Consider the following 11531-nt stretch of genomic DNA (forward strand, 5'->3'; position numbering starts at 1 on the left):
CAGTAAGCCTTGTGTAAATTGTCTTCATCCCTGTCTTTATCTTATTTTTCCTATGTCTCTTGATCTCTAGCTCTTCACTTTAAACAATTGTTATCTTGTCTTATTTGTATGAATTAACTCAAAATCCCTTCTTAGGGGGGAAAAAGGCAGAGTATCAAATGGCTATTTTCTTAAAAAAAATTATTTATTTATTTTTTGAGGCAGAGTCTCGCTCTGTTGCCCAGGCTGGAGTGCAGTGGCGCAATCTCAGTTCACTGCAGCCTCTTCCTCCCAGGTTCAAGCGATTCTCCTGCCTCAGCCTCCTGAGTAGCTGGGACTACAGGTGTGCGCCACCACGCCCACCTACATTTTGCATCAAATGGCTAATTCTTGGCTGGGGAACACTTATGTTTGGCTTCAGAAAGGCCTGCAGTGAAATTTTATATCCAATGATCCTGCTGACAGTGTGAACCCCTAATTCCTGTGTTGAAGTCTCCAGGCTCAGCCAGTGAAGCAGCTGAGCAGCCTGTGATGTGGAGGTGCCTAGGGGCCTAGGGCAGGAGCTAGAGTGTGAAACTGGACCTGACGCCCCCAGATGCTCCTCCCCCGCCTTGCAGGCTCCGCGACCACCCACGGTTAAAGAAGCAGCTGCTAGAGCAACCCCTCACCCACCCACCGGAACTTCCCTCCAGGCCATGGGACGTTGGTCTCAGCCGGAACTTCCGTCCAGGCAGTGGGACCTTGGCCTCAGCCATAAGCATCCAAGCCGCCGTCGTTGGGAGACTGGCCTTCCCATTGGCAGGGTGCACTGTCCATCACAGATCTCAGGGCTCTCATTGGCCATCGTATGGCAGGGGTGGAGCTCACCACGCTTCGTCCGCGTGCTCCCCACGTGAAGGCACCCGCCCTGCGCGTGTGAAAGGGCGAGAGCAGCGCGAGATAGGGCCTAGCGCCTCAGATCTTCGTTGGCGGCCATGGCTTCGGCTTCTCAGGGCGCTGACGACGACGGCAGTCGTAGGAAGCCCCGCCTGGCTGCATCGTTGCAGATCAGCCCCCAGCCCCGCCCCTGGCGACCGCTACCCGCCCAGGCCCAAAGTGCCTGGGGGCCCGCGCCCGCGCCCGCGACGTATCGCGCGGAGGGCGGGTGGCCCCAGGTCTCGGTGTTGAGGGACAGTGGGCCTGGGGCAGGGGCCGGAGTCGGGGAACTGGGGGCAGCCCGGGCGTGGGAAAACTTGGGGGAACAGATGGGGAAGGCCCCGAGGGTCCCTGTGCCCCCAGCAGGGCTCAGCCTGCCGCTCAAAGACCCACCTGCCAGCCAGGCCGTGTCCTTGCTCACGGAGTACGCGGCCAGCCTGGGCATCTTCCTGCTCTTCCGGGAGGACCAGCCACCAGGTGAGGCCGGGCCGGGGCATGGCTGTGCCAGAGGGCAGAGCCACGGAGGGCTGGGTCCCAGGACGTGGGGAGCAGGGGGTCTGGGGAAGGTGGACCTTGGTCCCTATGCTCAGAGACACCGCCGGAGCAGGACCTGGCCTGAGCTTGGGACCTTGGGGTGGACCCTGCTGTGAGCAGCGATCTCCAAGGATCACCAGCCACACCAGATGCTCAACTGTGAAAGAGTCATGGCAGGTGAACATTCTTCCCACCTGACTTCCAGGGAGGTTAAGGCCCCCTGGTATTTCTGTATACGTTTTTAGAGCCACTTACATGCAATTTAAGTTGCCGTGCTAGCATTGGAGATACCGAAATGGGAGCCACTCCCCTGACTTAAAAGACATTATTAAGCACAGTTTGGTAAGGGTAATACCGTGTACATGATACAGAGGTAAACCGTTATTTCCTCTTCTTCAATACATACCCCTTAAATCCCTTAACTCAGAGTGGTTGTTTTGTGTTTTGGATTTTTTTTGAGACAGGGTCTTACTCTGTTGCCCAGACTGGAATGCGGTGGAACAAGCTTGCCTCACTGCAGCGTCCGCCTCCTGGGCTCAAGTGATACTCCCGCCTCAGCCTCCCGAGGAGCTGGGACTACAGGTGGACTCCACTACACCTGGCTAATTTTTGTATTTTTTTTGTAGAGATTATGTGGTTTTACCATGTTGCCAAGATTGTTCTTGAAGTCCTGGGCTCCAGCTATCTGACCTCCTGGGCCTCCAAAGTGCTGAGATTACAGGTGTGAGCCACCACACTTGGCCCAGAGTTTTAATTTAAAAGTTAATTGCAGACATTATGCTCCTTACCTGTAAATACATTCACGTGTTTTTTGTTTGTTTGTTTGTTTGTTTTTCTTTTTTCTTTCTTTTTGAGATGGAGTTTCACTCTTGTGGCCCAGGCTGGAGTTCAGTGGCACTATCTCAGCCCACTGCAACCTCTGCCTCCCAAGTTCAAGTGATTCTCCTACCTCAGCCTCCTGAGTAGCTGGGATTACAGGTGTCCACACCAAGCCCGGCTAATTTATTTTTGTATTTTTAGTACAGATGGGGTTTCACCATGTTGGCCAGGCTGGTCTCAAACTCCTGACCTCTAGTGATCCGCCCGCCTTGGCCTCCCAAAGTGCTGGGATTATAGGTTAGAGCCACCTTGCCCAGCCCTCTTTTTTTTTTTCCTTTGAGACAGAGTCTCGCTCTGTGGCCCAGGCTGGAGTGCAGTGGTGAGATCTCAACTCACTGCAACCTTTGCCTTTCGAATTCAAACGATTCTTGCGCCTCAGCCTCCCGAGTAGCTGGAATGACAGACTTGTGCCCCCGTGCCCAGCTAATTTTTTTGTGTTTTAATAGAGATGGGGTTTCACCGTGTTGGCCATGCTGGTCTTGAGTTCCTGTCCTCAGCCCCACAAAGTGCTGGGATTACAGGAGTGAGCCACTGTGCCCGGCCTCATCTATATTTCTTAAAAACAAGGGCATCTCTTATGTAACTACAATACAATTATCAAATCCTGGAAATTTAACATTGATATAATACCATCTTCTAATTTCTATTCACATTCAAATTTTGCCAGTTGTCCCAGTAATGACCTCATGGCCATTGTTTCCCATCCCAGTATGACATTACAGTTAGCTGTCATGCCTCTTTAATCTCTTACCTGAAACAGTTCCTGTCTTTGTCTTTCACAACATTGATGTCTTTGAAGAGTAAGGGCCAGTAGTTTTGCGAATGTCCTTCAGCTTGGGTTTGTCTGTTTCCTCAGAACTGAGTTCAGGTGATGTGTTATTGAAGTGATGTCGAGTCTTTGGCACGCATCTCACCAGGAAGTGTGCGATCTTGCTTTGTCCCCTGGCGATGCGAGCTGTGGGGATTTGACTAGGGTGGCATCTACCAGGTGTCTTCACTTTCTCCTTTGTGCTGAATAAGTCATCCAGGGGAGGCATTTGGAGATCATGTAGATATCCTGTCCCTATAACATTGTCACTTGTGGTTTTAGAAAATCATGCTTTGATGGTTCTCCCCAGATTCAGTCGCTGTTAGGATGGCAGCCACATGCTGGCTTTCTAAGGCCAACATCCCTTCCACGTCTGTCTGTGGTTGCTGGTTTTGATGCCTGTTTAGAGCAGACAGATCTCAGCGCAGTGGGGAGTGCTGAAATGGGTTCCCTTCCAAAAGGGAAACCCCCAGAGGGGCAGTCCTTGGGAGAAACAATTTAGCAGCAAGTACTGTGAAATTAACCCTGCACCTTTGACCATGTGATCCCAGTTCCAGATTTTTCATCTCTCTTTTGTGTTATAAGTAACACCCAAAATGATACTGTTTCATAGGAAAAGTGTTCAAATATAGAGCCCCTGGAGGAGAGGAATTGAAAGCAATGTGTCTGTGGCAGGTGGAAGTGCTCAGAGCCTTCCTCCTGAGAACAGGGTGGCGTGGGCTCTGGAGAGGGGACCTGGATTTGGGTCCTGACTCAAGTTGGGCAAACCGCCTGCCGTTTCTGCTCATCTGTGAAATGGAGTCACGCATCCCTGCTGTGGAGGAGTTGGGTGAGGACTTGGTTGAATCAGCGATGGGTCACAGCCTGCAGAGGCACTCAAGGGTGTGCGCGGCATGGGGTGGCGATGGAGCCTGCTGGAGGAAGGGAAGGGTGGTGAGGGTCTCATTATTCTGACCGTCCTCGATATCAGGTGTCAGGAGGAGGCAGAGGTGGTACCTGTCACAGGGCGAAGGCCAGGGGGCTGCTTCCTCACCTGGCTCCTTCCCCAGGTCCCTGCTTCCCCTTCTCGGTGAGCGCGGAACTGGATGGGGTGGTCTGCCCTGCGGGCACTGCGAATAGCAAGACGGAGGCCAAACAGCAGGCAGCGCTCTCTGCCCTCTGCTACATCCGGAGTCAGCTGGAGAACCCAGGTAATGGAGGGAGGGCCAGGCAGCTGAGCCGCAGCTGGGGACAAGAGGACTGAGGCTGGCAGTCCCGTGGGGAGGCGGAAGTGGCTGTGCGTGTGAGCAGGAGGTGGGTTGCTGTACAAACCATCTGAGCATCAGGACGTCACCTGCAGGGAGCTGGGGCGGGGTACATGTGCCGGTCCCTGCTTTCACGTCCTCTGGGGACACCGGGGGTAGGGACCGCTAGAAGAGCAGCTCGTGTAATGTCCTGTGTCTGGAAGATGAAAACTTCCTCTCCCCGCCTCCTTGGCTTCCTGAGGGACGGAGGGTGGGCCTTGGCACCCACACCAGCCCGCCCTCCTTGCCTCTTTCAGAGTCCCCCCAGACCTCCAGCCGGCCTCCACTGGCCCCCCTGAGCGTAGGTAGGTGAGCATTCCCGGACCCAGGCTTGTAGTGTCGAGGGGAGAGGCGTGGGCCCCCTTCTACCTGCAGTCTCTCGCCCTGGCGCAGAGAACATCCTGACCCATGAGCAGCGCTGCGCAGCGTTGGTGAGCGCCGGCTTTGACCTCCTGTTGGACGAGCGCTCGCCATACTGGGCCTGTAAGGGGACTGTGGCTGGAGTCATCCTGGAGAGGGGTAGGGATCGCCCCAGCCCTGGCCCTGGCCCCGGCCCCCTGGGAAGGGCCCCCTCAAGCTCCTTGCCTTAGGCTGGGCCGTCTCTGCCCCCTCCTGCACAGAGATCCCGCGTGCCAGGGGCCACGTGAAGGAGATCTACAAGCTGGTGGCTCTGGGCACCGGCAGCAGCTGCTGTGCTGGCTGGCTGGAGTTCTCGGGCCAGCAGCTCCACGACTGCCATGGCCTGGTCATCGCCCGCAGGGCCCTGCTGAGGTGAGGGGCAGTGGGGTGGGCGCCTGATAGCAGCCTTCGCCAGGACAAGGTCTTCCCAACCACCCTGTGCCTGTCGCTCCTAGGTTCTTGTTCCGGCAGCTCCTGCTGGCCACACAGGGGGGCCCCAAGGGCAAGGAGCAGTCCGTGCTGGCCCCCCAGCCAGGGCCCGGACCCCCATTCACCCTCAAGCCCCGCGTCTTCCTGCACCTCTACATCAGCAACACCCCCAAGGGCGCGGCCCGTGACATCTAGTATGCAGGGCCCCCGGGGCAGGCGGGGGATGGGGCTCCCTCGGTTGGGCTGCTGGGTGGGGGCCAGGGTCAGAAGAGCAGCCCTGAAGCTGATGTCTGTCCCCACCCGGCCCGCAGCCTGCCCCCCACCTCGGAAGGTGGCCTCCCGCACAGCCCACCCATGCGCCTGCAGGCCCATGTGCTCGGGCAGCTGAAGCCTGTGTGCTACGTGGCGCCCTCGCTCTGTGACACCCACGTGGGCTGCCTGTCAGCCAGTGACAAGCTGGCACGCTGGGCCGTGCTGGGGCTGGGTGGTGCCCTGCTGGCCCACCTGGTGTCCCCACTCTACAGCACCAGCCTCATCCTGGGTGAGCACGTGGTGAGGGCTGGGGGGGTGAGAAGGGAGGGCAGGGAGGTCACTCACCTTGTCCTGTCCCTTCTGCCCTGCAGCTGACTCATGCCACGACCCTCCGACTCTGAGCAGGGCCATCCACACCCGGCCCTGCCTGGACAGTGTCCTGGGGCCATGCCTGCCACCTCCCTACGTCCGGACCGCCCTGCACCTGTTTGCAGGGCCCCCGGTGGCCCCTTCCGAACCCACCCCTGACACCTGCCGTGGCCTGAGCCTCAACTGGAGCCTGGGGGACCCTGGCATCGAGGTTGTGGATGTGGCCACCGGGCGTGTGAAGGCCAAGTGAGAAGGGCCCCCTGGGGCCGGGCTGTGGAGCAGTGCTGGTGATGGAGGGCTCATGCATGAGCTTCCTCACCTCAGTCTAATCCCAGCGCAACCCCTTCGCTCAACCCCTTCGCTCAACCCCTTCCTAGCTCCGTAGTGGTGGCCACACCTCTGTCTGCCCTGTGAGTCCTGTGACATTGTCACAGTGTGAGAGGAGGTAGTGTGAGGTGTGTAGCAGGCCTGCTGGTCCAGCTTGTATCTCTCTGATCTCAGTGGTATCCTCTCTTCATCCAGTGCCGCCCTGGGGCCTCCCTCCCGTCTCTGCAAGGCCTCCTTTCTCCGGGCCTTTCACCAGGCGGCCAGGGCTGTGGGGAAGCCCTACCTCCTGGCCTTGAAGACCTACGAGGCTGCCAAGGTTGGTTCCCCACCCTCCCCCCGTCCCGGTCCCTCTCCAGCCCTGCAGTCCCTGCCCCCTGCAGGTACCTCCTCTCACCCCACCTCTCATCTCCCGCCCTAGGCTGGGCCCTACCAGGAGGCTCGCAGGCAGCTGTCTCTCCTCCTGGACCAGCAGGGCCTGGGGGCTTGGCCCTCGAAGCCACTGGTGGGCAAATTCAGAAACTGAAGCCAGCCTCGGCGGGACCGAGGTCCCGGAGCCAAGCTGTACCCCTGCTGGGGGAGTGCCCTATCTGAGGAGCGTTGTGGGGAGAACATGGGTTGTGCGGGGTGAAACTGGGGCTGGAGGGAAGGAGGAGCCTGCTGTGGTTGGGAGGCGGCTGCTGCACGTTTGGGCTTGAATAAAGAAGTATTTCTGGTTCCTGTGTGTGTAGTTGGCTGTGTGTGTGTGTGTGTGTGTGTTTATGTGTTGGGGTGGCCAGGGGCCCTTTGTTTGCGGAGAGAGCCCCTCACTCCTCCTTTGGGAGGCCCTGTGTTCACTGGGTTCCCACCTGGATCCTCTCACTGAGCCACTGAATTGTCACCCCCGCCCCTGTTCACAGGGCTGGAGGCAGGTTTAGGAGGGGAGGTGACCTCCCCTGGTTCCTCCTGTTTTCCAGCCTGTGTGCTGGAGGAGACCACGGAGGCCACGGGTTGCGGGTGTTGTAAAGGGTGGGAGGGCAGGCTGCTTGGATGTGTGAGCATTTTGTCCTCTGGCCGCTATTGGGGCTCCAAATCCTTGCCTTTCTGGGCCCCCAGGATGTGTGGGAGGGCAGAGAACACCCTTCCCTGGTCAGAGCTTTAGCTGCCCTGGCCCTCGAGGGTGCTGTGGGGTCTGGGCAGCCCCATGTTGAAGGGCGTGGGGAGGGCATGAGCAGCATCAGTGCTTTCCCTGGGCCGCCCGGCTGTTGGACCTGGGCGAGGCATTGGACCGCTAGAGCCTGCGTCTTCCACCATGGAGAGGGACAGTGCTCCTGCCCTGTGTGGGCTCGGCAGTTCTCTCTCCGTTTCCCCCAGGGTAGCATAGTAAGGCCACATGGCACTCAGGCACTCTGTTGACTCTGGATGGGGAGAGAAGATGGTAACACTAAAAGCATGTGTGCGTGCACACTCGCACACACACCTGGAACCTCACCAGCATGGGCACTATAGCCGTTGAGCCAGGAGCACAACAGCTTTGAAGTCCAGGGACCTGGGGCCAGGGACAGTAGAGGACCGTGGCCAGCCCTGTGACCCCCACCCTGTGACTCCCTCCCTGCATCCCTAGCAGTTGCAGGGTTCAGAACCACAGGCTACTCTCCCATGTGGGGTGTCTCTGGGAGGGATTAGCATCTAATTATGGGGCTGAGTAAGAAGATGGCGCTCCCCAGTGCAGGCAGGCACCATCCAATCCACTGAGGGCCTGCAAACAACAAGCAAGCAGAGGAAGGTGAATTCGCTCTCTCCCCTTGAGCTGGGACATCACAACTCCTGGGTCTCTGGCCTTCAGACTTGGACCAGGACTCATAACATTGGTTCTCCCAGTTCTCAGGCCTTCGAGTTTGGACTAGAACGCCACCACGTGGGCCCCCAGCACTCACACAGCAAATGGTGGGACTGCTTCGACTCCGTATCGTGTGGGTCAATGCCTCGCAATACATCTCTATATATCCTGTTGGTTCTGTTTCTCTGGAGAACCCTGACCGATGCAGACAGCTCACTCCAGAGCTGTCACTCAGGGCCAGGCCTAATGTTGAAGTCGTGCGATTGGGTCCTCTCCCTCCAACCCCCTTTTGTCTCTGCCACTGGGTGTGTGTGGCCGTGGCCACGGGCAGCCACTTAACCTCCGTGCTTGTAGGTTGACTCATCTAGAGAAATAATCAGAGGGCTGGTCCCAGGGGTGTGTTCTTGGCCAGCCTGCCCATCTGCAGGCCTGGGCTTTCCGTCTGCTTTCGCTGGGCTCATCCTGTCTCCTTTCCCCACAGTGACGATGAAATGGGAGAATCTGAGGGAGGTGGGGTAGAGGAAACAGCACCAGTGGACAGACTAGACAACTCCAGCACGCCTGAAGCATGGTGTGTCTGTTCTGTTTTAACCTCCCACAGCTTGCCATGATAGATGCGATCATTGCCTCAGTGTACAGGTGAGGAAACTGGCAAGGTGCAGTTAGGTAACTTCTAGAACACCCAGCACCTGAGGTGGGCTGGAGCTGTGGTGATGTGCAGGCCGCCAGGCTTCCAAGCCCTTCGATTGCAGCCACCACCCAGGGCTGCAGCTGGATTTCCTTACGTGACCTTGGATGAAACTCTGAACCTCTCTGAGCCCCAGTTTGCTCATTTATAAAACAAGGACTAGGTGATATCCTTCCTAAGGTTCCCTCGCGTTCTCTGCTCTGCTCTTTCCCGACTGCTGCAGGAGGTCAGGAGGATGCCCAGTGCTATTACAGGGAAGAGCTGCAGGCTGGCAGCCTGCGGGGAGGCGAGTCTGGAGCTGGGGGCATCAGGCTGGGAAAACGGCAGGCGGGAGGGCCGGAGAGGGGAGCTGAGAGGCAGGAGGAGCTGCAATTCACATGTGCAAAGGACAGGAGGTGAGCCCTTGCTGAGGGAGGAGGACTACAGAGAGAGGCGTTTGCACCAGCAGGAAGGGTCCGCGGGGCCGGGAAAGCCAGGAAAGCACCGATTTCTTGTTTGAGAAGACAAGGATTTTTACCTTTAGTTTTTGGTTTTTTAAAAAAACAAAAAAACAGAAAACACTTCTCAGGCCAACCTTGAAATAATGATTTCTCGTGGCTCTTTTTTTTCAGGGATTAAGAGAGGGGGGTTTAAGAACACCCAAGCCTATTAGCCTGTGTATTACACATTGTTTTCCCCAGGAAATAGTTTACATTGATTTACTTTTTGTACTGTAGTAGTAACTACAACCAAATCTGGAAATATACCAGCCATTTCCAATTTCAGTTTGATGCAATGAGCCTTTTGGTGTTCATTAATCACATAATCACTGGATAAACAAGTTTTTCAAATCGACATTAACTCTGTTGTGTTCCGCCAAATCAGTAATATTTGTCCCCACGTTGCATACATCTGCTTGTCCAGTGCTTTCCTCCCAAGACAGTCTTTTCGTGACATCAGAGTCGCTCAGTTCTTTTGACTCAGCTTGTTCATTACTGCGGGGTGATGATGAAAGCTACTTCTGAAATGCGGATCTGTTAATGTCTAGTTGGCCGCATCTCCTCTGGGTGTAAGTTTTACCAACAGTAGCATATTTGAATTGGGAAGTGATGTAATCTCACTTGGCACAAGTGCTGCCTCCTCCGAGTGCCATCCCGTCACTTCCTCCTGCAGCTCAGGGCACCCTCTGTTCCGTGCTGACCCATGTGTTGTCTTCACTCTGGGACAGAGTGTGCCGAGTGGAAGTGTGGACCTGGGAAGTCTCTGGGAAGCCAAGGCGCCACTCTGCCTCCCCAGTCCTCAGCTTCCCCACTTGCCAACTGAGACAGGATCACAGACATGCAGCCTGCAGGGCCATGGTGAGATGAGGGGGGAAGCGTGCCTGGCACTGTTCTTGGCTCTCTCGGCAGCCCTCAGCAGTGACTGTCATCAGGCCTATCTGCCATCAGCTCCCAGCATGGGGCCTTGTGCATTTATCTCCATCTCCTCCTGGGGGGGTCTCCCACATAGAAGGTGCCCAACAAACAAGCACTGAATGGAAAATTAGTTAGAGGATCACTTGCAGGAGTGTAACCTACCCCTATATAGAGAGAGACCAGAAACCCCGTCCTCAAAACCCTGTAGAAGACACTTTGAAAATTTCCACTGTGCTCTGAGCCCTTTTCCTATGCCCTGGAGCAGTCAGTGAGAATCTAGAGAAAAGTTAGTGAGAGTCTAGAGGAAAGTAAATTGTTACCTTGCCTCATGGTTTAGTGGTGAAATTACCTTTTTAAAAATTATAGTTTTAAAAGATACATATATATTTGAGATTTATCTATCTATCTGTCGCCCAGGCTGGGGTACAATGGAACGATCTCGTCTCATTGCAATCTCAGCCTCCCGGGTTCAAGTGATTCTCCTACTTCAGCCTCCTGAGTAGCTGGGACTACAGGTGCCCGCCACCATATCTGACTAATTTTTGTATTTTTAGTAGAGATGGGTTTTCACCATGTAGGCCAGGCTGTTCTCAAGCTCCTGGCCTCAAGTGATCCACCCGCCTCGGCCTCCCAAAGTGCTGGGAATACAGGCATACGCCACCGCGCCCGACCTAAAAGATATTTTTAAAATCGATTTTCCTGGGTATCCAGAGGCAGCAGGATGAAGTACCCTTCCCTCTGTGCCATGCACAAACATTAACTCAAATTGGATCACACACCTAACACAAGAGCCAAAACTGCGAAACTCTCAGAAGAAAACATAATAGTAAAATTTTATGACCTTGAGTTAGGCAAAACTTTCTTAGATATGTCATCAAAAGCATCATGATAAATGAAAAAATAGAGAAATTGGGACTCCATCGAAATAAAACCCTTTGTGTTTCAAAGGGTACCATCAACAAAGTGAAAAGAAAACTCACAGAATGGGAGGATATACTTGCAAATCATATATCTGATAAGGGGCATATACCAACAATATATAAATAACTCTTACAGCTCAGTAATAAATTCAGCCCAATGAATGGGCAAAGGATATGAATGGACATTTCTCTAAAGAAGATACTGAGGCCAGGCATGGTGGCTCGGGTTTGTAACCCCAGCACTTTGGGAGGCCAAGGCAGGTGGATCACCTGAGGCCAGGAGTTCGAGACCAGCCTGGCCAACTTGGTGAAACCCCATCTCTACTAAAGATACAAGAAAAAATTAGCCTGGCATGGTGGCAGGTGCCTGTAATCCCAGCTACTTGGGAGGCTGAGGCAGGAGAATCGCTTGAACCTGGGAGGCAGAGGTTGCAGAGACCCGAGATCGTGCCACTGCACTCTAGCCTGGGTGACAAGAGCAACATTCCATCTCAAAAACAAATAATATTAACAAAGACGATACTCAAATGGCAATAAAA

At 55.1% G+C, this 11531-nt stretch overlaps 1 protein-coding gene and 1 long non-coding RNA gene across 3 annotated transcripts, besides 3 other annotated features; one reads left to right on the top strand and one right to left on the bottom strand.

The window, feature by feature from the left end:
- Window positions 626–920: an enhancer, noted in NCBI's record as "tiled region #3417; HepG2 Activating DNase matched - State 10:DNaseD, and K562 Activating non-DNase unmatched - State 10:DNaseD". NCBI's record gives its function as "activates a minimal TATA promoter and a strong SV40 promoter by Sharpr-MPRA in HepG2 and K562 cells {active_cell/tissue: HepG2 | K562}" and the evidence as "EXISTENCE:reporter gene assay evidence [ECO:0000049][PMID:27701403]".
- Window positions 880–6889, top strand: ADAD2 (adenosine deaminase domain containing 2). Of its 2 annotated transcripts, NM_139174.4 has the most exons (11): window positions 880–1371; window positions 3729–3944; window positions 4165–4305; window positions 4656–4703; window positions 4792–4917; window positions 4989–5169; window positions 5253–5420; window positions 5538–5767; window positions 5850–6093; window positions 6370–6490; window positions 6593–6889. In NM_139174.4, the coding sequence occupies exons 1-11, from the start codon at window positions 954–956 to the stop codon at window positions 6695–6697; spliced, it is 1998 nt and encodes a 665-aa protein (NP_631913.3). In that variant the 5' UTR covers window positions 880–953; the 3' UTR covers window positions 6698–6889. The 2 variants fall into 2 exon arrangements, with proteins under 2 accessions (NP_631913.3, NP_001138872.1); NM_001145400.2 differs by lacking the exon at window positions 3729–3944 and having other exon boundaries at window positions 5019–5169.
- Window positions 2281–6776, bottom strand: ADAD2-AS1 (ADAD2 antisense RNA 1). Its single transcript, NR_147175.1, has 5 exons — window positions 6605–6776; window positions 4984–5164; window positions 4768–4879; window positions 4112–4448; window positions 2281–4029 (listed from the first exon to the last, which is right to left on the bottom strand). It is a non-coding gene; the product is annotated as an ADAD2 antisense RNA 1 (long non-coding RNA).
- Window positions 4029–5228: an enhancer, noted in NCBI's record as "CDK7 strongly-dependent group 2 enhancer chr16:84227912-84229111 (GRCh37/hg19 assembly coordinates)". NCBI's record gives its function as "activates an origin of replication core promoter dependent on BRD2, BRD4, P300/CBP, MED14 and CDK7 cofactors, with strong dependence on CDK7, by STARR-seq in HCT116 cells {active_cell/tissue: HCT116}" and the evidence as "EXISTENCE:reporter gene assay evidence [ECO:0000049][PMID:35650434]".
- Window positions 5384–6006: an enhancer, noted in NCBI's record as "H3K27ac-H3K4me1 hESC enhancer chr16:84229267-84229889 (GRCh37/hg19 assembly coordinates)". NCBI's record gives its function as "activates a minimal SCP1, AML or CMV promoter by ChIP-STARR-seq in naive H9 embryonic stem cells {active_cell/tissue: H9 hESC(naive)}" and the evidence as "EXISTENCE:reporter gene assay evidence [ECO:0000049][PMID:30033119]".
- Window positions 6890–11531: the final 4642 nt, after the last annotated feature.

Source organism: Homo sapiens, chromosome 16 (assembly GCF_000001405.40).
Source record: "Homo sapiens chromosome 16, GRCh38.p14 Primary Assembly".
Taxonomy (NCBI): domain Eukaryota; kingdom Metazoa; phylum Chordata; class Mammalia; order Primates; family Hominidae; genus Homo; species Homo sapiens.

Coding starts and splice junctions, on each gene's coding strand:
- ADAD2 (NM_139174.4), top strand. CDS start 954: ATGGCTTCGGCTTCTCAGGGCGCTGACGACGACGGCAGTCGTAGGAAG. Junction 3,945..4,164: donor CCCTGCTGTGGAGGAGTTGG/GTGAGGACTTGG, acceptor CTCCTTCCCCAG/GTCCCTGCTTCCCCTTCTCG. Junction 5,421..5,537: donor GGCGCGGCCCGTGACATCTA/GTATGCAGGGCC, acceptor CCCGGCCCGCAG/CCTGCCCCCCACCTCGGAAG.